Genomic DNA, 20,478 nt, shown 5'->3' with positions numbered 1-20,478 from the left:
TCAACCTGGGGGACTGTAGCTATTACATAAACCAACGTAAACAAGCCTCCAAAATCCAGCAACTAAGGATGCTTTGGCTCCACAGCAGACAGCTTGAAATTGACAAGTTTCCTAGGCTGCCCTTGAAACTCAATTTTCTGACACTCAGTTCATCCCAAATTAATGGAGACCCCGTTCAACACCCAAAGCTGCCCTTTTGCGTTGCCCTCAAGAGCCCTTCCTGGGGTATAAAGAAGGCCATAAAGACAAATTCTAAATGTTCTAATATGATGGGGTGACGCCAATTAAATAAAATGCATTGATCTCAGTTAGAGGAGGGGAAGGGACACTATAAATAAGTATTCCCCTGTTGGTCAGCTGAGCTACAAAAGGGTCAAAGGGATTAGGGGTGGAAGTAGCTTCACAAGCCAATGCCATATGCAAAATAGAAACACTACTCCCCCATTTTTTTCCTCCCTAGTACCAACCACCTGTTTTCTGAGGCATCCCTCTAATAAACTAAAAGAGCCTTGTCAAGTAGCTGATTCTATTATTAACTAGACATGTGTCTCTCCCAGGCTTCCTGGCAGATCAAGAAGACTGTCAGCCTTCTCCACAGGGTCCCAGGGCCACTTAGCTGAGCTCAGCAGCCTTCATGAAAGAAGGACAAGGAAGATAATGGCCTTAATTTGGCCAAGTAGCCCAGAAGAGGTCCAGTGCTAAACTGTCTGATCACAGTCAGCGTCATCTTGGTACTGTCCCTCCCAGGCCACTCAAGAAAGCTGGTGCTGGCTGTGGGTCTGGGCAGTGGGTGAGTGCAAGTGATACAATTTGGGCCTTAAATATCCTATCTGAAGACCCATTGGACTTTTTACCTGACTACGTAGCTCTGGAGACCTGACTCATAGAGAATTAACTTTCTGTCCTTGCAACCGAGTTGTCACAGGATAATGCAGAACAAATTAGCGCATGCCCAGGCTGCAAGGAAATCAGGACAGACAAAAATGAGACAGGCAGGATTCTAGACTACTTTTTTGAAACGTGACCTCTCCTAAGACAGTTTCATGGGTCATTTCTCGGTACTTTGGTTTAGAAATAAATGTCTATCTTCTTATATCATGTTGGCAGGAAGAGAAAGAGGAAAGAAACAGTCAAGACGTCAGGAATCAGAAATGAATGCAGATGGGAACATTACTCATATTAACTCAGTGACACTTGAGAAGCCCAACCACTTGAGCTCCATCTAGTCAGCTAAAGGAGCAGAAGATAACAAATATAGAAAGAAAAGAACTTTAATACTTACATGTCTGAGAACACTGCCCTCCCCCACTAAACTGGGAGCATCTCCAAGGTAGTGGCCGTTGAAAAAAATCTCTTCTGAAGCTTCTAGCACAGCATCTTACACGTAGTAGGTCTTCCACAGATGCTTGGGAATGAGCAAATGGTTAAATGTAGACTACAAAATGCCCAGAAATTCAGCATAGTAACCTAACAGTTGTTGAAAAAATAGAGGAAATCACGTTCTAATTTCATAAGTGCAACTTAAGCAAACCTACTAACAAAGGTAACCTATGTTAGGGCCTTGGAGCCCTCTCCTTTAGAAGTCAATTTCCACAGTCCCCCAGTCGGGGAGGGCACAGTGTGGAGCTGACAATAGCTGCTCCTCTCTCCTCCCTACTCATGTCTACTTCTCAGGAAATCAAAGATCTGTGCAGCTGCTTAGGCCACCCTGAGCATAATTCATGTTGGTTTAGGATTTAGGCTTATAAGATTAGACTGATGATCATAAACCTTGCCCATTATAAAATTCTAAAATCATTATTAATTTTAAAATGAGTATAAAACCTTGGGCAAAACCAATAACAAATGCCTGCCAACTCTAAGACCAAGAAGAAGCCTAAATCCTATCTAATTTGGAGAGCTCAGGCTGGAGCGGATTATGGAGAGAGGCTAAGGATGCTCCCTCCCTGGACAGGATGAGGATGAGGATGAGGAGGACAGCATCACTGCTTCTGCCGAAAGCCAAGGACTGGTAAGGATCCTCCGGGCAGCTCTCTGGTCTGCAGCCTGAAGAGAGGACTGGGGGAACTACTGTAGAATCAATACTACCAGGCTGAGGAATGCCCAAGGGAAAAAAGGAGCTGGGACCAAGGACAGAACCCAGAGAGATGACGGCTCTGTGACCCTGCTTAGTTACGGGCCTTGCGATGGCTGCTTGCTTTTCATAGAGTGAAAGGTAAGAAATGGAAGAAAGTCATACATTGGCATTCCAAGGATGAGGAATATAATCAAATACGAAAGTTGCTTCCAACAAGATGGAATGTGAATTTGCCCATGCAGACAAACAATCCAGTGCTGGCACACAGAGCAAGATGCAGAAATGAAGGGGAGGAGAGGCCAGTCTCAACTAGGGGTCTGTGATTTACAACTGAAGTTCAAAGTGATGGTAATACCATGTTTTTACTTTTTAAATGGTTTTATCCTATTTTTCTAGCCCATAAGGAATGCACCTTGGTGTCAACAAAACCCCTTGGTCTTTGTAAGCTGTTTTGAAGCAAAATATCAGTAAATTACTTCCCAAACCACCACACAACTAGATCACGCTGAGAAAATGGGGGCTCTGCAAGAATGCAGTCAATTGTTTCTGTCACAGAAGAAAATACAACCAGTAGAAATCGTTATGGATGAGTCATTATGAGAAGGGGCCAAAAAAATTAACCTTCATCCGTTTTCTTTGTCTTTGCGCATGTAAGAGAGGTGGGGGTGTATGTGTATGTGTTTATTTGAATTCACCAGCCACATTTAGAACCGGAGCTGGGAAGGATTTTAGAGAGAAGCCAGGCCAGCCCCTTTGCTGACGACAGTGGAGGACGGGGAGGAAGAGAAAGAGCTGACTCCAGAAATGATATTGCTGAGAAGATACTTAGTATGATCGAAGGACAAGTGGCTCTGTGATTAAAGGAAGAGAGAGAAGAAAACTTTTATTCTAAAATATTTATTGACGTTTATGAAGTAGCACCAAGCACAGAATTAAATGCTTTTATATGTTTGAGCTTTTCTAATTCTATTTCTTCCAAGGCCAGTCCTATTGGGTAGGACCCCCATTTAATAGATGAAGACATTGAAGTTTAAAAAGGTTGGGTGACTTGTCTGAAGCCCCATAGCCATGAAGTGACTGGGGCTGGGATTCATGTCATTATGGTCTGATTTCAAGCCCATTTCTATTAGTCCATTTTCATACAACTGTGAAGAAATACCCCAGACTGGGTAATTTATAAAGAAGTTTAATGCACTCACAGTTCCACATAGGTAGGGAGGCCTCACAATCATGGCGGAAGATGAAGGAGGAACAAAGGCATGTTTTACACAGCTACAGGCAAGAGAGGGTGTGCAGGGAAACTGCCCTTTATTAAACCATCAGATCCCATGAGACTTATTCACTATCAGAAGAACCACATGGGAAAAACCTGCCCCTCGTGATTCAATTACCTCCCACCAGGTCCCTCCCACAACACATGAGGATTATAGGAGCTACAATTCAAGATGAGATTTGGGTGGGGACACAGCCAAGCCATGTCACCATGCCTTCCAGAATGACACTGTTCCTCCTCAGGTGAGGAACGTGCTGTGTGAAGCCTACCATGAGCAAAAGCCAGCACTAGGCAGGATGGCTGGAGAATGTGAGTGTGAGCCGAGGTGTACATCTATGAGATTCAGAGGAAGTGATTGGCATTCCCCAGATTTGCACATGGACTTTCAGAATTTTCCAGTGAATCCGCACTCCACGTGCAGCTTTCTCAACCTCTTCAGCCACTAGGAGCCCCGGCATAGGGACTTTGTAATGTTCCCTGGGGCATTCTAAATTCACTTCACTAAGCTCCAGCCTCTCCTCTCTGCCAATACAAAATCCATTGCTGGTCACTTGGTAATGATTCCTCATGTCCCCTCTATGCAAACAATGGTAGAGAAAAATACTCCGTTAAAGTGTTAAACATCCGCTAATGTGTGGTAATTGATTTCATGTGTGGAAATCAGGGACAGGGCAACACTGGGAGACAGTGGATTTGACACAGGCACTGTCTGATTTGATGAACACAGCTGTAAGGTGCTGGTTTTTATGAAAGTGTTAATCATCTGGTAGACCTGGCCAAAAGGCCCGCTTCCATGTAGCAGTGCCCTAGGTGGACAAGATAGGACACAGAGGGCCACCTTTGTCCCTGTCAGTAACTATTTCATTTCAGTAACGATATCAGTTTACAAGCCACATGAATTTGAGGGCTGTGTCCTGCTCCATGGATCTGCAGCATGAAGTCACCTCTGAAGTCAGCCAGGCTGGGGAGACACGCTGAGGCAGATGGAGGTCCACACAAGTTGCCCAGGGAGAGTCAGAGAGGAACGGAGGTTGTGGAAAGCAGCAAGTGGGGAGATGAGGACTGACAGCAAAAACTGTTCACTGCTCACCTGCAGCAGTGCATCTGGAAGCCAACGTGTAGATCTGTCTAAAAGCCAAAGGCAACAAGAGACATATGTATGTATGTTGCTGTATAGCTAGCTGACAAGGAGCTTCCACAGACATGATCTCAGTTTGGATTTCCTCATCAATCTTGCAAGGCTGGTATTTTTGCCAACACAGAGAAAGAACTAGATTACTAATTCTCAAATGGGGTTGCATAGTTACCTGGGAAGCTGTAAAAGAGAAACCGATACCCAAGACCCCTCCTTCCCACCCCCAATTCAGATTCCTATGTTTAAATTCTCCCAAGTGATTCAAACATATGCTAGGTTGAGAGCCACTGAATTAGACAAACGTGTGTAGATGGATGGATTGAAGACAAATATATCCAAAATGGAGAAGGGCATAAAATTTAAATAAATAAATTTAGGACATAGGAGAGGAAGGACTAGAAACACAAAAACCTCTCAGTCTGGCTTGGTCTGAGAGACAAGGCTGAGGGATATGGATAAAGCCGTGGGGCTAGTGCAAGGTGATCACATTCTGCACTCTTATTAGCAGATGCTTCTCAGGTGACGTGCAAGGACCCAGAGTCATGCGTCCCCAATCCATATGATTTGGAGAAGAGAGGAGAAAGGCACCTCCTCAGATGGAAGCTGTGCTCAGACCAAAGTCAAAACATAAGCACAAAAGAGGCCTGAGGAAAAGACTATTTTCTGTCCTTGCTTTATACTCCATAGACTGACTTGAAACAATTTTCAGAAGTGTCCTTAACTCCTAGGGGACTCATTTAGCAATACACCGCTTCCTCTAATGAACTATGAATTGTGCTGATATTCTCATCTCCAGGCAATGAAGATGCTCTCTGCAGCTCCTAGGTTCAACAGGAACTTGGACAACACCTACAGATTTTTCTGATGCGTAAGCAGTACAAGCATAATAATGATGATAACAAAAATAGCTGCTGTTTATTGAGCACCTACTCGGTGCCATGACTTCGCACTGTGCTTTAGATGTGTTCTCTCCTCTTTCCTCTTTACCTTTTCTGTTTTCTTTTCTTTCTTTTTTTTTTTTTTTTTTTTTTTTTGAGACGGGATCTCACTCTGTCACCAGGCTGGAGTGCAGTGGTGCAATCTCGGCTCACTGGAACCTCCGCCTCTCGGGTTCAAGCGATTCCCCTGCATCAGCCTCTCCAGTAGCTGGGACTACAGGTGCGCACCACCATGCCCCGCTAATTGTTTGTATTTTAGTAGAGACAGGGTTTCACCATGTTGGCCAGGATGGTCTCAATCTCCTGACCTTGTGATCCACCTGCCTCAGCCTCCCAAAGTGCTGGGACTACAGGCATGAGCCACTGCGCCCAGCCCCTCTTTCCCTTTTCCTATACACCACCTTAGACGGTAGAGACCATGAAGTTCCCCTTTTGCAAATGAGAAACACAGGTCTCAGGGAAGTATGGTACTCAATGTCACAAGTCTGGCAGGTCCAGATGGGATCTAGACACACCCGGCTCCAAGCCCTGGTGCTTACAGGTGCAGAAGTGCAGCAGGAACTGCTACTTACCACCTGGAGAAGGAAATAATTAATAATGCTAATTACCCTTTCCTGAGCACTTCTTTAAGCCTGGCACTGTGTTCAGCCATTTACATATATTATTTTATTTAATGCTCACAAAACCCAGAGAGGCAAGTATTTTATCCTTAATTTACTCTTGAATCATTTGAGCCTCAGCGATGATGTAAGCACGCTGGCAAGGAGCAAAGGCATCCCGTGGGCCTTTGCCTACCATTTGCTGTTCTTCACCTGGGCCCCGGTGCACACAGGTACATTCAGATGTTGTTGCTTTGCTCTTCACGGGACTCTCTCTCATTAGCATCACTTCACCCACCAGTGAAGGAATGAATTCTGTCCGTTAGTTGGGGAAGGAAAAATATTCTTGCCCTATCCAAAGTCAGATAAATCTTCAGTTCTGGAGGACAGAAGAAGCCCCTCATTCTAAAGGTCCTCCCAGTCGAGGCCCCTCAGGGACCACCATTCCTTTTGCATCAGCTCATGGCCCGAGGAGTGCCTAACCTGGACAGCAGGCTGCATCAGAGTGGACTGGTTAAGCGCAGGGCTTTGACAGTAATGTGTTCTGGGGATCAAGTTCTGGCTGTGTTGCATGAATTGCGTGAGTCATGTTCCCCATGAGCCTCAGTTTTCTCATCTGTAAACTAGTGATTAGAATAGCAACTTCTCAGGGTTGTTGAAAGATTATAAGAAATAATGTATGCAAACACATAAAATGCTTAGCCTAGTGCTTGATTGCTTGATTAATGGAACCTATTATTACTCTTAATGGCTAAGGGCACTGGGGCTGAGACGGTTTTCTGGCTGCCTCCAAGCAGAAGGAGAAATGGCATGCTCCCCCATGCTGATCGTACATTTTACCCCCATTTCCAGGTGTGGGAAAAGCTCCATCAAAGCTCTCCCATCAATAACAGTCGATTCCAACCCCGAGAGAGCCCAGCTGCAACTTCCAACTTGCAGTTGGAAGGATGCTGAGGCATTAAAGTAGGCATGGAGGGAACCAAGGACGTGTGGCCCTCCAATGCGTGGTAGAGCCTTGAGTTCAGCAGACCCCTGCACATGCCAGCATGTGTGGCCCAGGCAAACCAGCCTGCACGAGGCCAGCAACCCTGTACCCTGTCAAGGATCCGATGTGTGTCCAGGATCCCTGTGGAGGCAAAGATCCTGCCCCTCTCTCCATCCACCAGCACACCACTCCCACGTGCATGCACACACATGCACACATGTGCACAGGCATATGCACACGCAGACACATGCACACACACACATGCCTCCCACACACGCACACACAGCAGTCAACATGCCCTGCAGAGAGACCTCCCTGGTCAGGCGCTAGAGCCTCCTTGGGGGCGGGGTGTCCTCTGAGGCGCTTGCAGCTCCTCCATGGCTATAGAAACTCACTTTCCCCTCAGCCCTCTTTCTGCCAGTCACCTTCTGTCAAGGAGTGATTATGCTCCTTTCTGTCAGGAACACGGATTGATTGTGGCAAGAAAATTGCCTTCAGCGATAGGGATTTAAGAAACGCTTTTCCTGAAAATAGTGCTCAAATTAATTAACTTGGAGGAAAGGGTTGCGTTTTGTTGTTGCTGTTTTTTTTTTTTTTTTTTTTGGTCTGGATTTAATTTATTTTTTCCCAAAGAGTTTTTTGTTATGTGATGAATAGTGAAGAGGGTGTTACCTCCTCAGACATACACCTGGAGTCAGGGAGGCATTGCAGGCCCCCATCCTGTGAGGCACCAGGGATGTGCTCCTCCCAGCGGAGCAGGCAGGGCAGTGGGAGGGACCAGCCGGAAGCAGGATGTGTTTGCAGGAGGTAGTGGGTGTCCGCAGTAGGAATGTAAGGTAACAGTGGCAGTGGAAAGCACACGGGGTAGGCATAGAGCTGCCTGGGTGCTGGCACTGTCCCTGACACTAACTGGAAATGTTCACTCGGCTTCTCTACAGTAGAGATGTGATTCCGATTGCAGCTGCCAGTTGGGCTGGTTGCTGGGAGGACCAGATGAGGCACACCTGGGGCTGTATTTTGTGCTCAGTTCTGTGATTCCTTCGTGGCCCCTGACAGGAGGGTGGTTCAAGGCCACGGGGCAGAAGGCAGAAGGCAAAGAAAAAAGGCTTTCTGAAATCAAGACCAGTACCACTGTCACGAGCTGCGTGATCTTGGGTCAGTAATCTAAACTCTCTCAGCTTTTACGCCCTCGTTGTAAGATGGGGGTAAAAAATAAACACGTCGGCATCACTGTGAAAAGTAATGAATCAGTTAAAAGACTCAACCTATAATTGACTGATAAATAGTAATTCCTTTCTCCACCACCCTAGTCCTATGCAATACACTAATAGGCACTCAAAAAATGTATGTGTATAATATATTTTGAATGGACAAAAGTGATTAAATATTATACATGCATTAATTTTTAAATAATGATTTTTTTTCATGCACACTTTGAACCCTGTCAGGCCAGAGTGAAAACGATTAAAATATCACATAAAGGAACTCCCAGTGTCCGTAGAACTTCCAGTTTAAGGTGGTGCAAATCACCTCTGTGACTCACCCACCTTTCTGAGAGCTACCTTTTCTAGGCCTTGTCCCCCACTTACATTCAAGAAATACAAAGATATTTCTTCTCCACCTTGACCAGCATTTCTTACCTGGAGTACATGGACGGGCTTACTGGGATCCACAATCCATACCTGCATTTGATTCATTGAGTACGCTTGGGGATTAAATCCATAGCTTTCACTGGGGCAGGGATGGGCACAGCTGTGACTACACACACAAACGCACGAGTGCGCGTGCGCGCGCGCGCCCACACACACACACACACACACACACACACACACATTCCCCAGTCCTGATGCCCCCACCTGGCAGCTGCACACTCCCGAGGACTGAAGAGCTGCACTCCCGCAGCCTCTGCCTCTCAGGAGCCTGCGGGTGTTTCAGAGCATCTGACCAGCCTGGCTCTAGGCTGGGTGTGCACAGTTCGCAGGTGAAACAAAGGGAAGGAAATTATCTTGCCCTGAGACATGCAACAAGAACATTCCACTCATCTTTGACTACTAAACCGTCATTGAGAGGAAGGCAAGAAGCAGATCTCATGCAATCAGGGTGACTGCTGAGGAGTTTTAAAGCCATCAGAGGAACTCTCCCAGTGGGAGCCACTGGGGCTTAGGCCCACCTCAGGGATGCAGCCCTGAGATCCCTGCTCCGAGATCCCAGCTGTGGTCAGAAGCAGAATGGCAGGCATGCAAACACCATTTCTGATCAAAGGCAAGAGGGAGGCATGCATGATATCTTTCCTACGTTCAAAGAATTTTAAAAGAAAGGCCATGCTATGAAATGTGTTTAGCATCATTTTCATATAGGCCACAGGACATCTTTCGGTTGGACATAGCCCAGGACCTGCATTCAGCTACTCCTACTATTACTACTACCATTAATAATATAAGTATTACCTTATTTTCCTGATTAGTTTCTGTGTTTATACAGTAGTCAAACACCGAATGTAGGAGGCCTAGGAAAGCGAATGCAGAAGTGGGTACCCAAGCACATTGTGACATGGATAAATTAGCCCTGTTTCAAAACTTGGAGAAGCAATTAAAGACAGATGGAGAACTGCTGATACGGACCTCGGCATCTATTTCCTCGCCTCCCACTCAGTGCCTAGCACAGAACTTTACATACAGCGAGCACTCAATACTTGTGTGATATCAGGGAGTAGTCACGATTTTTTTCCTCACCTTCATCTCAAGAATAATGACAGCTTTTATTCATTTAAACTCGGCTTCTCAGAGTGCAGTCCGTGAACCTTCCGCTTCAGAATCACCTGGGGACCTTGTTTAATATGCAGCTCCCTGGCTCCTTTCTCAGATACCCTGAGCCAGGCTCTTTAGAGGTGAGGCCTGGGAAAATTCAGTCTACTAAGCCCACCAAGTGCGCCTTAGGTTCTTTGAAGTTTGAGAAATACTGACTTAGATAAATGAGTGTTTGTTCAGTAGTAGCTTTAAGTCCTTTTCAGAAGCACTTCGTAAATTTACTAAACCATGTATAGAGGCATCTCTAAAATCACATTCTACAAAGCCTTTCTTCTGACTGATTCAGAATTAAGTATAGGAAGGTTTAAGCAATAAAGTGTGGGGGTAAATTTTTCTCGTACTTCCAGTTACTTCATTAAGACTGTCGGCCTGCATGTCAGAGGATGATCCAAGAATGTTCTTAGCTCCTAACTCATCTTCCTAGCTGACCGAATAGGCACCTGGGGCCAGGAGAAATCTGCTGGCCTCTCTCACTGGGTTTCCCTTGGTTTGTGACATTACAGATGGACTGTGGTCGTCACTGCTATTATCTTGATAAAACATATTATGGGGCTGGGCACTGTGGCTCACACCTGTAATTCCAACACTTTGGGAGGCCGAGGCGGGTGGATCACTTGAGGTCAGGAATTTGAGACCAGCTTGGCCAACCCCATCTCTACTTAAAAAATACAAAACTTAGCCAGGTGTGGTGGCACGCACCTGTAGTCCCAGCTACTTGGGAGGCTGAGGCAGGAGAATCACTTGAACCTGGGAGGCAGAGGTTGCAGTGAGCCAATATCGCGCCATTGCACTCCAGCCTGGGTGACAGAGGGAGACTCCATCTCAAAAACCAAAACATATTATGGGAGGTATCAGATGACATGAAGAAACAGAAGGAGATGAAATGAGTGAAAATGAGAGAAGAGAAAAAGAGAGGAGAGGAGGGGAGGGAAAGGGAGGAGAGGGGAGAGGAGGAAAGAGAGGAGAGTTGATTATCTAGTTGGAATAAAGCCCTGTTGCCTTGAAAGTATTCTGCGTCAGCAAGGCCTTTAATGGAGTGGGGATTGAAGGACCGGCCCAGAGGAACAAAAGGAAGGAATAAAGAAAGGTGACAAATCGAAGAAAAGAGCAAAGAGAAATAAGGACTGGCAAGAGCAAAAAGAACGTGCAGTACAAAGACTCCAGAGGAGTGAGGGTTTTTTTTTTTTTTTTAACTTTGCAAACACTTCATTTTACTACACTTAATTAATCATAACACAGGAACATAAATGTTTAAAGAGTGAAATAAAATGTACAGAAGTATAGTCATACTCAACAAAAATGAGAACACATCAATGTAACATAAGGTTGTCATCCCTGCAGTCTCCAAGCTCACGGGAGTCAGCGTCTCCACTTCAATTCCTCCAGCCACAAGCAAGTTCATAGTAATGAAGCTCTTTCTTCGTCCTGGCTGAAATCAGTGAGGGAAATGCAGGAGGAATGAGAAAAAAATGTTCCAAAGAGAGAGGAAAAGGGCAGAGAAAAAAAAGCAAGTATGACAGCGACAGAAATAACTTTATTCTCTCATGCTGGTGCCCTTCAGGCCAGGAAGTCCTCTGACGTGTCTAACTCAAATATCTCCTGCAATTCCAGCCAGTTTCATGCTTTCCTGGGTCCAGCCAATAAAAAACTGTGACAATTTACTGATTCAAAATACTGCAACATAAAAGAACAAAAATTTAAATAAAGTTCGGCAGACCCTCTTTCTGAAATCTTGGATCTGCATGAAAGCAAAATAGAGGCAGAGAATACACCAAGAATGAGAAAAATCTCTCCCCTTTTCAACTATAAAAACCATCTGGATTTTCTGTCTCCTGGCCCCAAGCCTTCTGCCATCAATATCTGGACATTTTGATCCCTCTGCATGAATCCGCAGTGATTCAGGCCTGTGTGGGGGGAGTGGAACTAATAAAGTCCTCTGTTGGGGGAACTGAGGGATCATCACGTGACAACCTCAAGCTGACCTTATTCTCAGGCTTTCCCTTCTGATGGTCTGTCTTGGTTCTGGTAACTGAGGTTTTGGGGAGCTGAAGGACACCATTCTCTAAAATCTGAACTCTGCCCATGTCTCAGCTTCCACGTTGGGGACCTTTTCACACCAGGCAGGTTGCTGTTGCTGTCCCAGAATGATCGACCAGATGGACTTCTAGGACCTGTTTACATTTCCTTATAGTATTTTTCCTCCCCTGCCTGCTCTCATACACACAAGCTCCCTTTCACTGGACTCGTGTAATGAGCAATTCTTCCTCTATGAAGCCCCAGGGAGCTTGTCAATCTCCAAATCCCACCTCTGTAGAGGCTTTTCGTGCATCTGAGCCCCGAAGCCTGTTCTACTGGTCCCTACAGACACCCTTCCTAGTCTGCCTGTATTTCAGTGGGCTGAGTCCTCCTTGGTTGACCAAAGCACATTGGGAAGACTACAGGGGGTCTGTTGTGCCTTCTATGGACTACAGAGGAAAGTGGCTCAGGTTCATGGTGTGCCTGTGATTTAGCTATGGCTGCTTCAACCTTCCCTTGTATCCAAAGTCTGTGCAGTTCATCCACCTTGGAAGTTTGTGTTTATCTCTGGGACAAACAAAACTAACCCCTGCCTTTTCCACAGTTCTCAAATCCTTACAAGGCCATAGAGTGTTAGAAATGGTTAAGGATATAAATTTCAGCGTCACATATCTGAGCTATATACTGACCCCTGTGGAACCTTGGGCAAAAAACTTCTTTCTCAGCTCTCTCTAACATGTGGCTAGAGTCTCACAGGAATGGGGTAAATGTTCATAATGATTGTGTGACGTTCTTATTATAGTGTCTAGCACAGAGATACTGCGGAGGAAAAGGTGATGAACAGTTTCTGCCTTTCTGAAGTCCCCAGGGTTCCATAATTGTTCTTTGGAAGCTTTGTCATTGTTATAGAGGCAAACCTCAGAGAATGCCAAGGTAGGGAGACCTTCTCCCTTGTCAGGAATTCCACCCCGCCCCCACCCAGTCTCCATGGCTCACCAGTGCTGGCTCCCCATGTTCTTTGATCCTGGGAGGCCACTCCTATGGCCCAGTGGGTGAGGACATCATTCCTGTATCAGCAAAAGCCTCATCGTACCTCACAACTTCCAGTCCCCATGCCTTCTGCTTATTTTCTCCAAAACTATGGGAGAACATACACAAAACGATTTTATGAATACTTGGAATTCAGACCCAGTGTGTGACCTAAAGCATTCAGCATCCTTTTATGCCATTCCTGAGAACTTCTATTATTGTAACCACATCTATTATAATTGATAACCTCAAAACTAACAGAAAAACACTGTGTCTTCACCCAGAGAAGCTTGGAAGACCCCAAGTGCAACCTAAGGCTACTTGTCCTATGTGGGAGAACATATTTTCCTTGACAAATGTCTGGCTGTAATCTGCTTTTCAATAGGTAGTAGATGCTCTCGGGCCTTGTAACTGGGCCACAGTAACCTGTGAAGGGTCAAGATTTATATCTGAGAGGGTATGGTCACCACCACCTCTAACCACCAGTGCATGTCCCGCACCCTCTGAAGGGGCTGTGGGACTCCTGAGCCACCTGCTGCGTGTCCATAATTGTAGTATTGAGTGATAGATTTCAACACATAAATCCAATTCTGAAAGATTCTAAAAGCCACATTCGAGTTAATGAGCAGAGTACACGAATCAATTAATTGTGTCTATTTTGGTTACTTGAAGGAAAGGGGCAATATTTCATCAGCAGTCCTTAGGGTAGGGATGACAAGCACTAGCATCTGGAATCTGAGATCACCCTGATATCGCAGAGAATGTGGAAGCTCAAACAATGAGCCAGGTCCTGGTCAGCTGTTTCAAAATGGCCCCAATCCTTTCCCTTTCTTTATCCATTGCCCTTTCAAGTGGAGCCCACTCCTCCACTCCTAGAATCCAGTCTGGTCCTGCAGTAAGAATGACTGCATCCCAGTTCCAAGCCCAGGCCTCGAGAGGCCTTGCATTCCTCTGTGTGCTCTCTTGGAACCCTGTGACGGTCATAAGAACAAGGCCAAGCTTGTCTGCTGGAGAATAGGAGACCACAGGGACTGGGGCCAGACAATTCATGAGAGGCCATCCTAGACCAGTTCCTCCCAGAGAGCCACTAGCTGACTGCAGAGACATGAGACTCCAGCCCAGAAGAGTTGCCAGTGAGGTAAATGAATGTCTATTGTTTGATGCCACAGGGCTTTGTGTGTTTATTTGCTTTTCTTACACAGCATTATTGTAGCAATACACAACAGATAAAAAAGGTAGCACCACATTATATCCCGATGAATCCAGCCGTAACTACTGACCATGACCTTAAGATGTTTTTTCTCCTTTATAAGTTGCTCTTCCCACGTGTAGCTGATTGGGTCCAAGGCTACTGATTCTCTAACTATCTGTGGTCAAGGACCAGCTTTTTATTTACATTTTCTTTTGTCCTATTTTGGTTTTGTTTTTACTTCTTATTTGAAATAATTATAGATTCATAAGAAATTGCAAAAAAATCAAATAATACAGGGAGGGCCAAGATGTTTTTTTCTTTTTGTTCCCCCAATCCATTGTGGATCAAATACTTTTGTAAAATCAAAAAAGAAAGAGAGAGAAAAAGAAAGGAAGAAAGAAAGAAGAAAAGAAAGAAAGAAAAAGAAAGAAAGAAAGAAAGAGAAAGGAAAAGAAAAGAAAGAGAAATAAGTTATCAGGAATATGAAACAAAATCTTAAAAGATGTGTAAAGTACTAGTCCAAATTCTTTATGATTAGATTAAAAGGAATAGACATAAAGTTACAAACATTTTTATGAAAATTTCTAAATGCTTATTTTTGGTTTGTACATGTAGCTCACGTTTTGTGGCTTGGCCCCAGTCCACAGACCACTTCTAAGTAGTATTACTTTCAACTTTTCTGGAGATGAGAAATGGAAACTAAGCTTAAGTACAGTGGGAATAATTTTGGTCTCGAATGACCTTAAGGTGTTTCACAGAGGATATTTTTACAATATCTTTTACCCTAAGTGCTATAAAAGAGTGCTTTTATGGTTATCTAACCCTGGATGATGGGAAGAAAAAACACAAAATACACTTCAGCCTTTATACAGGAATTTTCCTTACTGATTTTCTTTCTTCTCTTCATCACTAAAACAAACAACAAAAACAAAACACAAACACTGACCGGGCACCGTGGCTCACGCCTGCAATTCCAGCACTTTGGGAGGCCGAGGTTGGCAGATCACTTAAGCTCAGGAGTTCAAGATCAGCCTGGGCAACATGGTGAGACTCCATCTTTACAAAAAATTAAAAAATTAGCATATAGGCATGATGATGTGCGCCTATAGTCCCAGCTACTTGGGAGGGTGAAGTGGGAGGATCACGAGCTTGGGAGGTTGAGGCTGCAGTGAACCTTGATGGCACCACTGAATTCCAGCCTGGGTGACAGAGCAAGACCCTGTCTCAAAAAACAAAACAAACAAACAAAAAAAACACAATGCAAGGTCACACCAGCATTGAGGTTCAATATTCAACATGCTTGGCTTCTCTACTTGACAACTCTAGCCTTGCACTTTTGATAAAACCAGTGATGCCTTGGTTGTCAAAACAGTGACCACCTGCAAAACTTCTGAAATATCCTCTGCAGAGAAGCCCCAATATGACTGTGTACCCAGTGTATATACCCTTTTAGAGACAGCCCCCTAAAGTATCTTGTTTGTCAAAAAAGAGACCTTCCAAAATAAGTCAGATGCCTTGCTCTTTCCTTCACCATCAGGACGATGAGCACCAACTCTAGGTCCAGACAGTCCCCAGTCCTAGCTGCTTCCAACATGGAGGAACTAAAAGACAAAGTTGAACGGATATTTATTCTTTCAGCTACAACTTGCGTGGCTGCTCAATATTTAAGTCAAAGGAGAATCCCTACAGCATGCATCAAACTTCAATTACTAGGCTTCATTTAGAATACCTGCTTATGCACACTAAACCCTCACCCAGAAACACACCTCCTTTGTCCCTCATAGTTTCAGTCCATTCAAAATATATACCATAAATGTATTTAAAATAGTGTTAATATGGAAATAAATGAGTCTAATTTTGAATTCATACTTGCTATTGTCATTTTGAGTTTTTAGTAAAAATTATTTTTTCAATAATATTTCTGCCATGTGATATAACTGGCCAGTATTCAGCAGAATGTTTTCCCAATGTATTTTAGTGAACATTAATTCTCCATTTAAAAAATTCAGATTACAACTACTATTTCTGTATAATCTCATGATGTCAACCACTACTGAACCTAGAGTAGCATCATTCCATGAAAAAGGTCAGACATCACCAAACCTACCAGGATTCTTTCACTTATTATACATCTATTAGTTAGAGGCTTAAACAATTAGCCATTTTGTCATAGAAGAATATATTAAGAAGCTGCATGTAAATATACAACAGGGATTCTCTTGTGACTGCTCCTTTTTGGAGGGCTGAGAAGGCTGCTGCTTCCTGCCATGATGGGGTAACAAAAATTGGGCTTAACTGACCATAATAAACAATCAGAAAACTAAACAAAATGTATGAATTAACAGTTTTCAGACATTAAACAACAAAAACAAGAAATAATAATTGCTGAAAGAAGAGAACATTTCTGGAGGAAATTTCTAAACTGCATTCAGGAAGGGTAACCCTAACAATATGTAATAGCCTTCACGAATCAAGGAGAGAGAACAGAGTTCAAGAAACCTGTGGCAACTGAATGTTGTAGGACAGAGTTCCAGAAAGGAGGAAACTAGCCTGGGAATCCTAAAATATTTATTAGCTTGTTTTTTAGAAAAAAATTTGCCAACCCTTGCCGTGGAAATAAAAACTACAATTTATAAAGTAATAGTTTTACTGGGTGAAAGTAACAACAGATTAGACACTGTGGAAGAAAAGACCAGTAAACGTGAAGACAATAATAGAACCTACCTAAAATAAAGCATCCAGAGAAAAAAGACTGCTAAGAAAATAAATAGAGCCACAGTGATTTGGGGACAATATTTAGCGGCCTAATGTACATGTAACAGGAGTAGTAGAAAGAAAAGGAAAAGAGAATAAGGTATAAAATTATTATTAAAATATAATGGCTCAAGTTTTTAAAAAATTTTATAAAAACTATAAACTCAGAAATGAAATAAGGTCAATGAACTCCACACAGAATAAACACAAAGAAAACCTCACTGAGGCACATTGTAATCAAATTGCTTAAAACTGGTGATAAAGACAAAATATTAAACAAATATTAAACACTGCTGGAGGAAAAAGAAGTCACTTTATGTAATAAAAATTGGAGCAGGGAACTATGCAAGCTTTAAATCAATAGAATAACATCTTAAAACTATTAAAAAGAGAAAAAGACTACATTCAGTGAAAATAGTCCCTAAAAATGAAGACAAAATAAAATCTTTTGCAGACAAGCAAAAACTGAAAGAATTTATTACCAGTAAATCATTCCTATATGAAATATTGAAACAAGTTGTTTGGGCAGAAGGAAAATAATGACAGATGGAAACATAGACCTACGCATAAAAAAAAGAGCACTTAAAGAGGCCAATATTTTCTTTTTTCTTTTTAATTTCTTTATCAGATAAATGAATGTTCAAAGCAAAAAGAAACCAATGTATAATGGGATTTTATAATATATGTAGAAGTAAAATGTATGATCACAACAGCACAAAGAATGGGAGGGGGAAATGTAAGGACATTCATTTCATTTTTTACATTACACAAGAAATAATATTATTTCAAGGCAGTCTATGATACCTTAAGTGCATATTATAAACCCTAGAACAACCATTAAAAGAAAAGTAAACAAGATATATAGCTAATAAGCCAACGGTGGATATAAATGGAATAGTAGAAAATCTATCTTTTATCCAAATAGTAGCAGAAAATGATGAAATAAATCTAAAGAACACATGAGACGAATACAAAACAAGTAGTAGGATGATAGGCTTAAAACCAATTATATCAATAATTATATTAAATGTAAATGGTCTAAATGCACAAAGAAAAAGGCAAATGTTGTCAGACTGAATACACAAGCAATACCAAACTACATGTTGTCTACTAGAAATCTTTTAATATCAAAAAAAGATGTGCTTTAAACATATGTCATGCAAAAATTAACCATAAGGAAGCTGGAGATGCTATATTAATATAAAAAACGAAGTAGAACCAAAGATATTACCATGAATAAAGAAGGGCATTTCAAAATAAAGGGCTACAGAATTATAGATTTTCAATTCCAGCCCAATTAAAATGAATTTTCATATGGGATTCCTATTATCAAGCATCCCAGCTGATTAAAGTTAAGCCCTGTTTCAGCTACTTTGGACTTGAATTTTTAAAAACTAGAAAGTAGACTATGTACTCCTTTCCTGTTCCAATCCTTCCTTCCAGTATATACAACTTTGTTTGCCCCTCTTCATCTAATTTATTTTATTTATCTAAAGTTCTCTTTAGTCCTTCTCTTTTATTCTTCAGTTGCTATCTTGATCCAAGCAGATTGATATGTTAGTTTGAGTTCCATTTTGTCTTACTTTACTTCTACGTGTGGCACAGCCTTCAAATTGTCCACCAATATCACTTTATCCTTCTTCCTTTAATAGCAGAACTCCTGTCTTTAGTCTCGGAACATTGGTACCCAGCGGAAGGCTGACTTTCCAGCCTTGCCTGGCTGTGCGGCCATGTGACAAAGCTCTGTCATTTCCTGGTTGTGCTTTAAAAGGAATCTGTATGTGAGCTCCATGCTTCTGTCCATCTTCCCACTGGCTGAGAAACACTGTGATAAAGTGGCTGAGATTTCCATTTTTGTTTAAGCTCTACATTACTGGGTGGCCTTCTTTGTAATAGCAGCTTACAATAAATCCTAACTAATACTGTATAGTACCTCTTTAATTTTCTTTGCCCAAGAGAGCTGATAAATTTGTGTAGTAACTCAAATTTCTCCTGCAATCCCTGTATTATCCCTATTTAAAGAAAACAATGAGAAATTGCTGTTACTTTTTAAACTGGGAACAAGGACTCTGGAAAAGAATCCAGCCCCTACTTTTACTGTCGCGAACTTTATCCATGATAGAGTCCACTTACTTCTTTAAAACACATGCAGTTGATTGTTAGTCTCTAAAGAAGTGAAGACCCCCTAGGGAAAGCTGTTAATGCGGATTTTCAGTAAAAGAAAACAATAGACATATATAGATTCCAGTTCTCCATACTACACAGGCTTTCCTAAGCCTGGCCCCACACCTAGCTTCTTCTGGGCTGCAGATTTTCTTGCCTCCCAGCTTCAGCTGCCCCTGTTTTCCTGTTTCTAACACTCTCCTTTTGTCCTCAGGAGTCATTATGGAGACATAACTAACCTTCAGTCCCTGTATATTAGGATTAGAATAATTAAGATCATATGAAGGGTTGGAGTTTGGAACACTCAGCAAAGCTGAATTGGATTCCTACTATCAAGTTATTTGAATCCTTTCAAACAGCCAGTGGTATAGCCTGTAGAGCCTCCCAGCCCCTGCCTAACCTCTGGAAAAATCTTGTCTCAAAATAAACACTATTGCAGATTAAAACCAAGATTCTCAGGAGGGACTGCTTAGCATCAACATGTTGCCTTGCTTATGTTAAGCCATCCCTGCTCTGGTGCTGGGATGGAGAATAATTGCCAGGATTGTGTGGAGGCCCATCATTTTGCTTTCTCTGAAGCAGCTTTATCAGGAACAAGCCCCAGGGTGGCATTACTTAATCAATAGCAGAGATACAGAGAGAGAAAGAGAGTTCACAATAAACTGATTGCTGCATCTGGTTTCCTATGAGCAGTTACAAGACAAGTGAAAGTCCTCTAATCTCATCAAGCAACCAGACAGATTGATTTTGAGTTCATTAATAGTTGCTGGGGTGAAGAAGAGAGAAAGGAAAAAGAGAAAATGAATACATCATTGGGATCTACACCCTTAATGCAGATCAAGAAGCTCTTTCAAAAACCATTCCTGGCTAGTAGAGAGCACTGAGCAAGGATCTGGTGCCTGGCCTGGAACCACAATTAACACCCAAGGCCTGAGAGTAACATCTTCCAACCAGGAAACCACATGTTTTCAATTCATCTGCAAAGCACCCAAAATACAAGTGAAAAGAAAACTCCTGTGCTATTTATGCAGATATTTTACTTACATAATCTCAAATAGCTTTCATCCAAATACTTGGCACCATTTAGATTTATAGAGGTGCTTTAGCAAACTCAGAGCTACCTATCAGCCTTACCTACCACAGGAAAAAACAAAACAAACTGTGACTATGCCTGAAAAGAACATGAAATAACAATAAGTCAATTTGACTTTGGATGTAGGTGCTTCTAACTCAGCTAATTCAGAATTGGTAGAGGGCCGGCATATCAAGATTACATTGTCCCTCCAAGCTCCTTGTACTCCCTTCTCTGATAACCAACATGCTAATATTCGAAAGAGCTAGTGACCCATCAAAAAGTGGGTATTTTTGATACAGGTGTCTTGTTGTTTTATAGAACTGGTATATTCCTTGAAGGCTGTATACAAATTGATCCAATAGTAAAATACACGGAAGTGGCCAGTTTTGCTTAGAGGAATCACAATCCTCATGAATAGACAACTGTCTCCTAATA

At 42.6% G+C, this 20,478-nt stretch overlaps 1 long non-coding RNA gene across 2 annotated transcripts in view, besides 2 other annotated features; it reads right to left on the bottom strand.

Moving 5' to 3' along the window:
* Positions 6,702–7,355: an enhancer, noted in NCBI's record as "H3K4me1 hESC enhancer chr11:131105841-131106494 (GRCh37/hg19 assembly coordinates)". NCBI's record gives its function as "activates a minimal SCP1, AML or CMV promoter by ChIP-STARR-seq in naive and primed H9 embryonic stem cells {active_cell/tissue: H9 hESC(naive and primed)}" and the evidence as "EXISTENCE:reporter gene assay evidence [ECO:0000049][PMID:30033119]".
* LOC107984412 (uncharacterized) overlaps positions 11,057–20,478 on the bottom strand; it is a 45,435-nt gene continuing 36,013 nt past the window's right edge. The window contains exons 3-4 of one of the 2 annotated variants that reach the window (XR_001748463.2): positions 12,827–12,968; positions 11,057–11,243 (exon numbers count right to left, since the gene is read on the bottom strand). This is a non-coding gene — a long non-coding RNA (uncharacterized LOC107984412). Of the gene's footprint in view, positions 11,244–11,328; positions 11,489–12,826; positions 12,969–20,478 lie in introns of those variants that run through there. The other variant, XR_001748464.2, reaches the window with a different exon arrangement.
* Positions 19,715–20,216: an enhancer, noted in NCBI's record as "NANOG hESC enhancer chr11:131092980-131093481 (GRCh37/hg19 assembly coordinates)". NCBI's record gives its function as "activates a minimal SCP1, AML or CMV promoter by ChIP-STARR-seq in primed H9 embryonic stem cells {active_cell/tissue: H9 hESC(primed)}" and the evidence as "EXISTENCE:reporter gene assay evidence [ECO:0000049][PMID:30033119]".

The sequence above is a fragment of the Homo sapiens genome, chromosome 11 (assembly GCF_000001405.40).
Source record: "Homo sapiens chromosome 11, GRCh38.p14 Primary Assembly".
NCBI lineage: Eukaryota > Metazoa > Chordata > Mammalia > Primates > Hominidae > Homo > Homo sapiens.
Note: the sequence above shows the minus strand (reverse complement) of the source record. Positions and strands in the feature narration are given on the sequence as shown.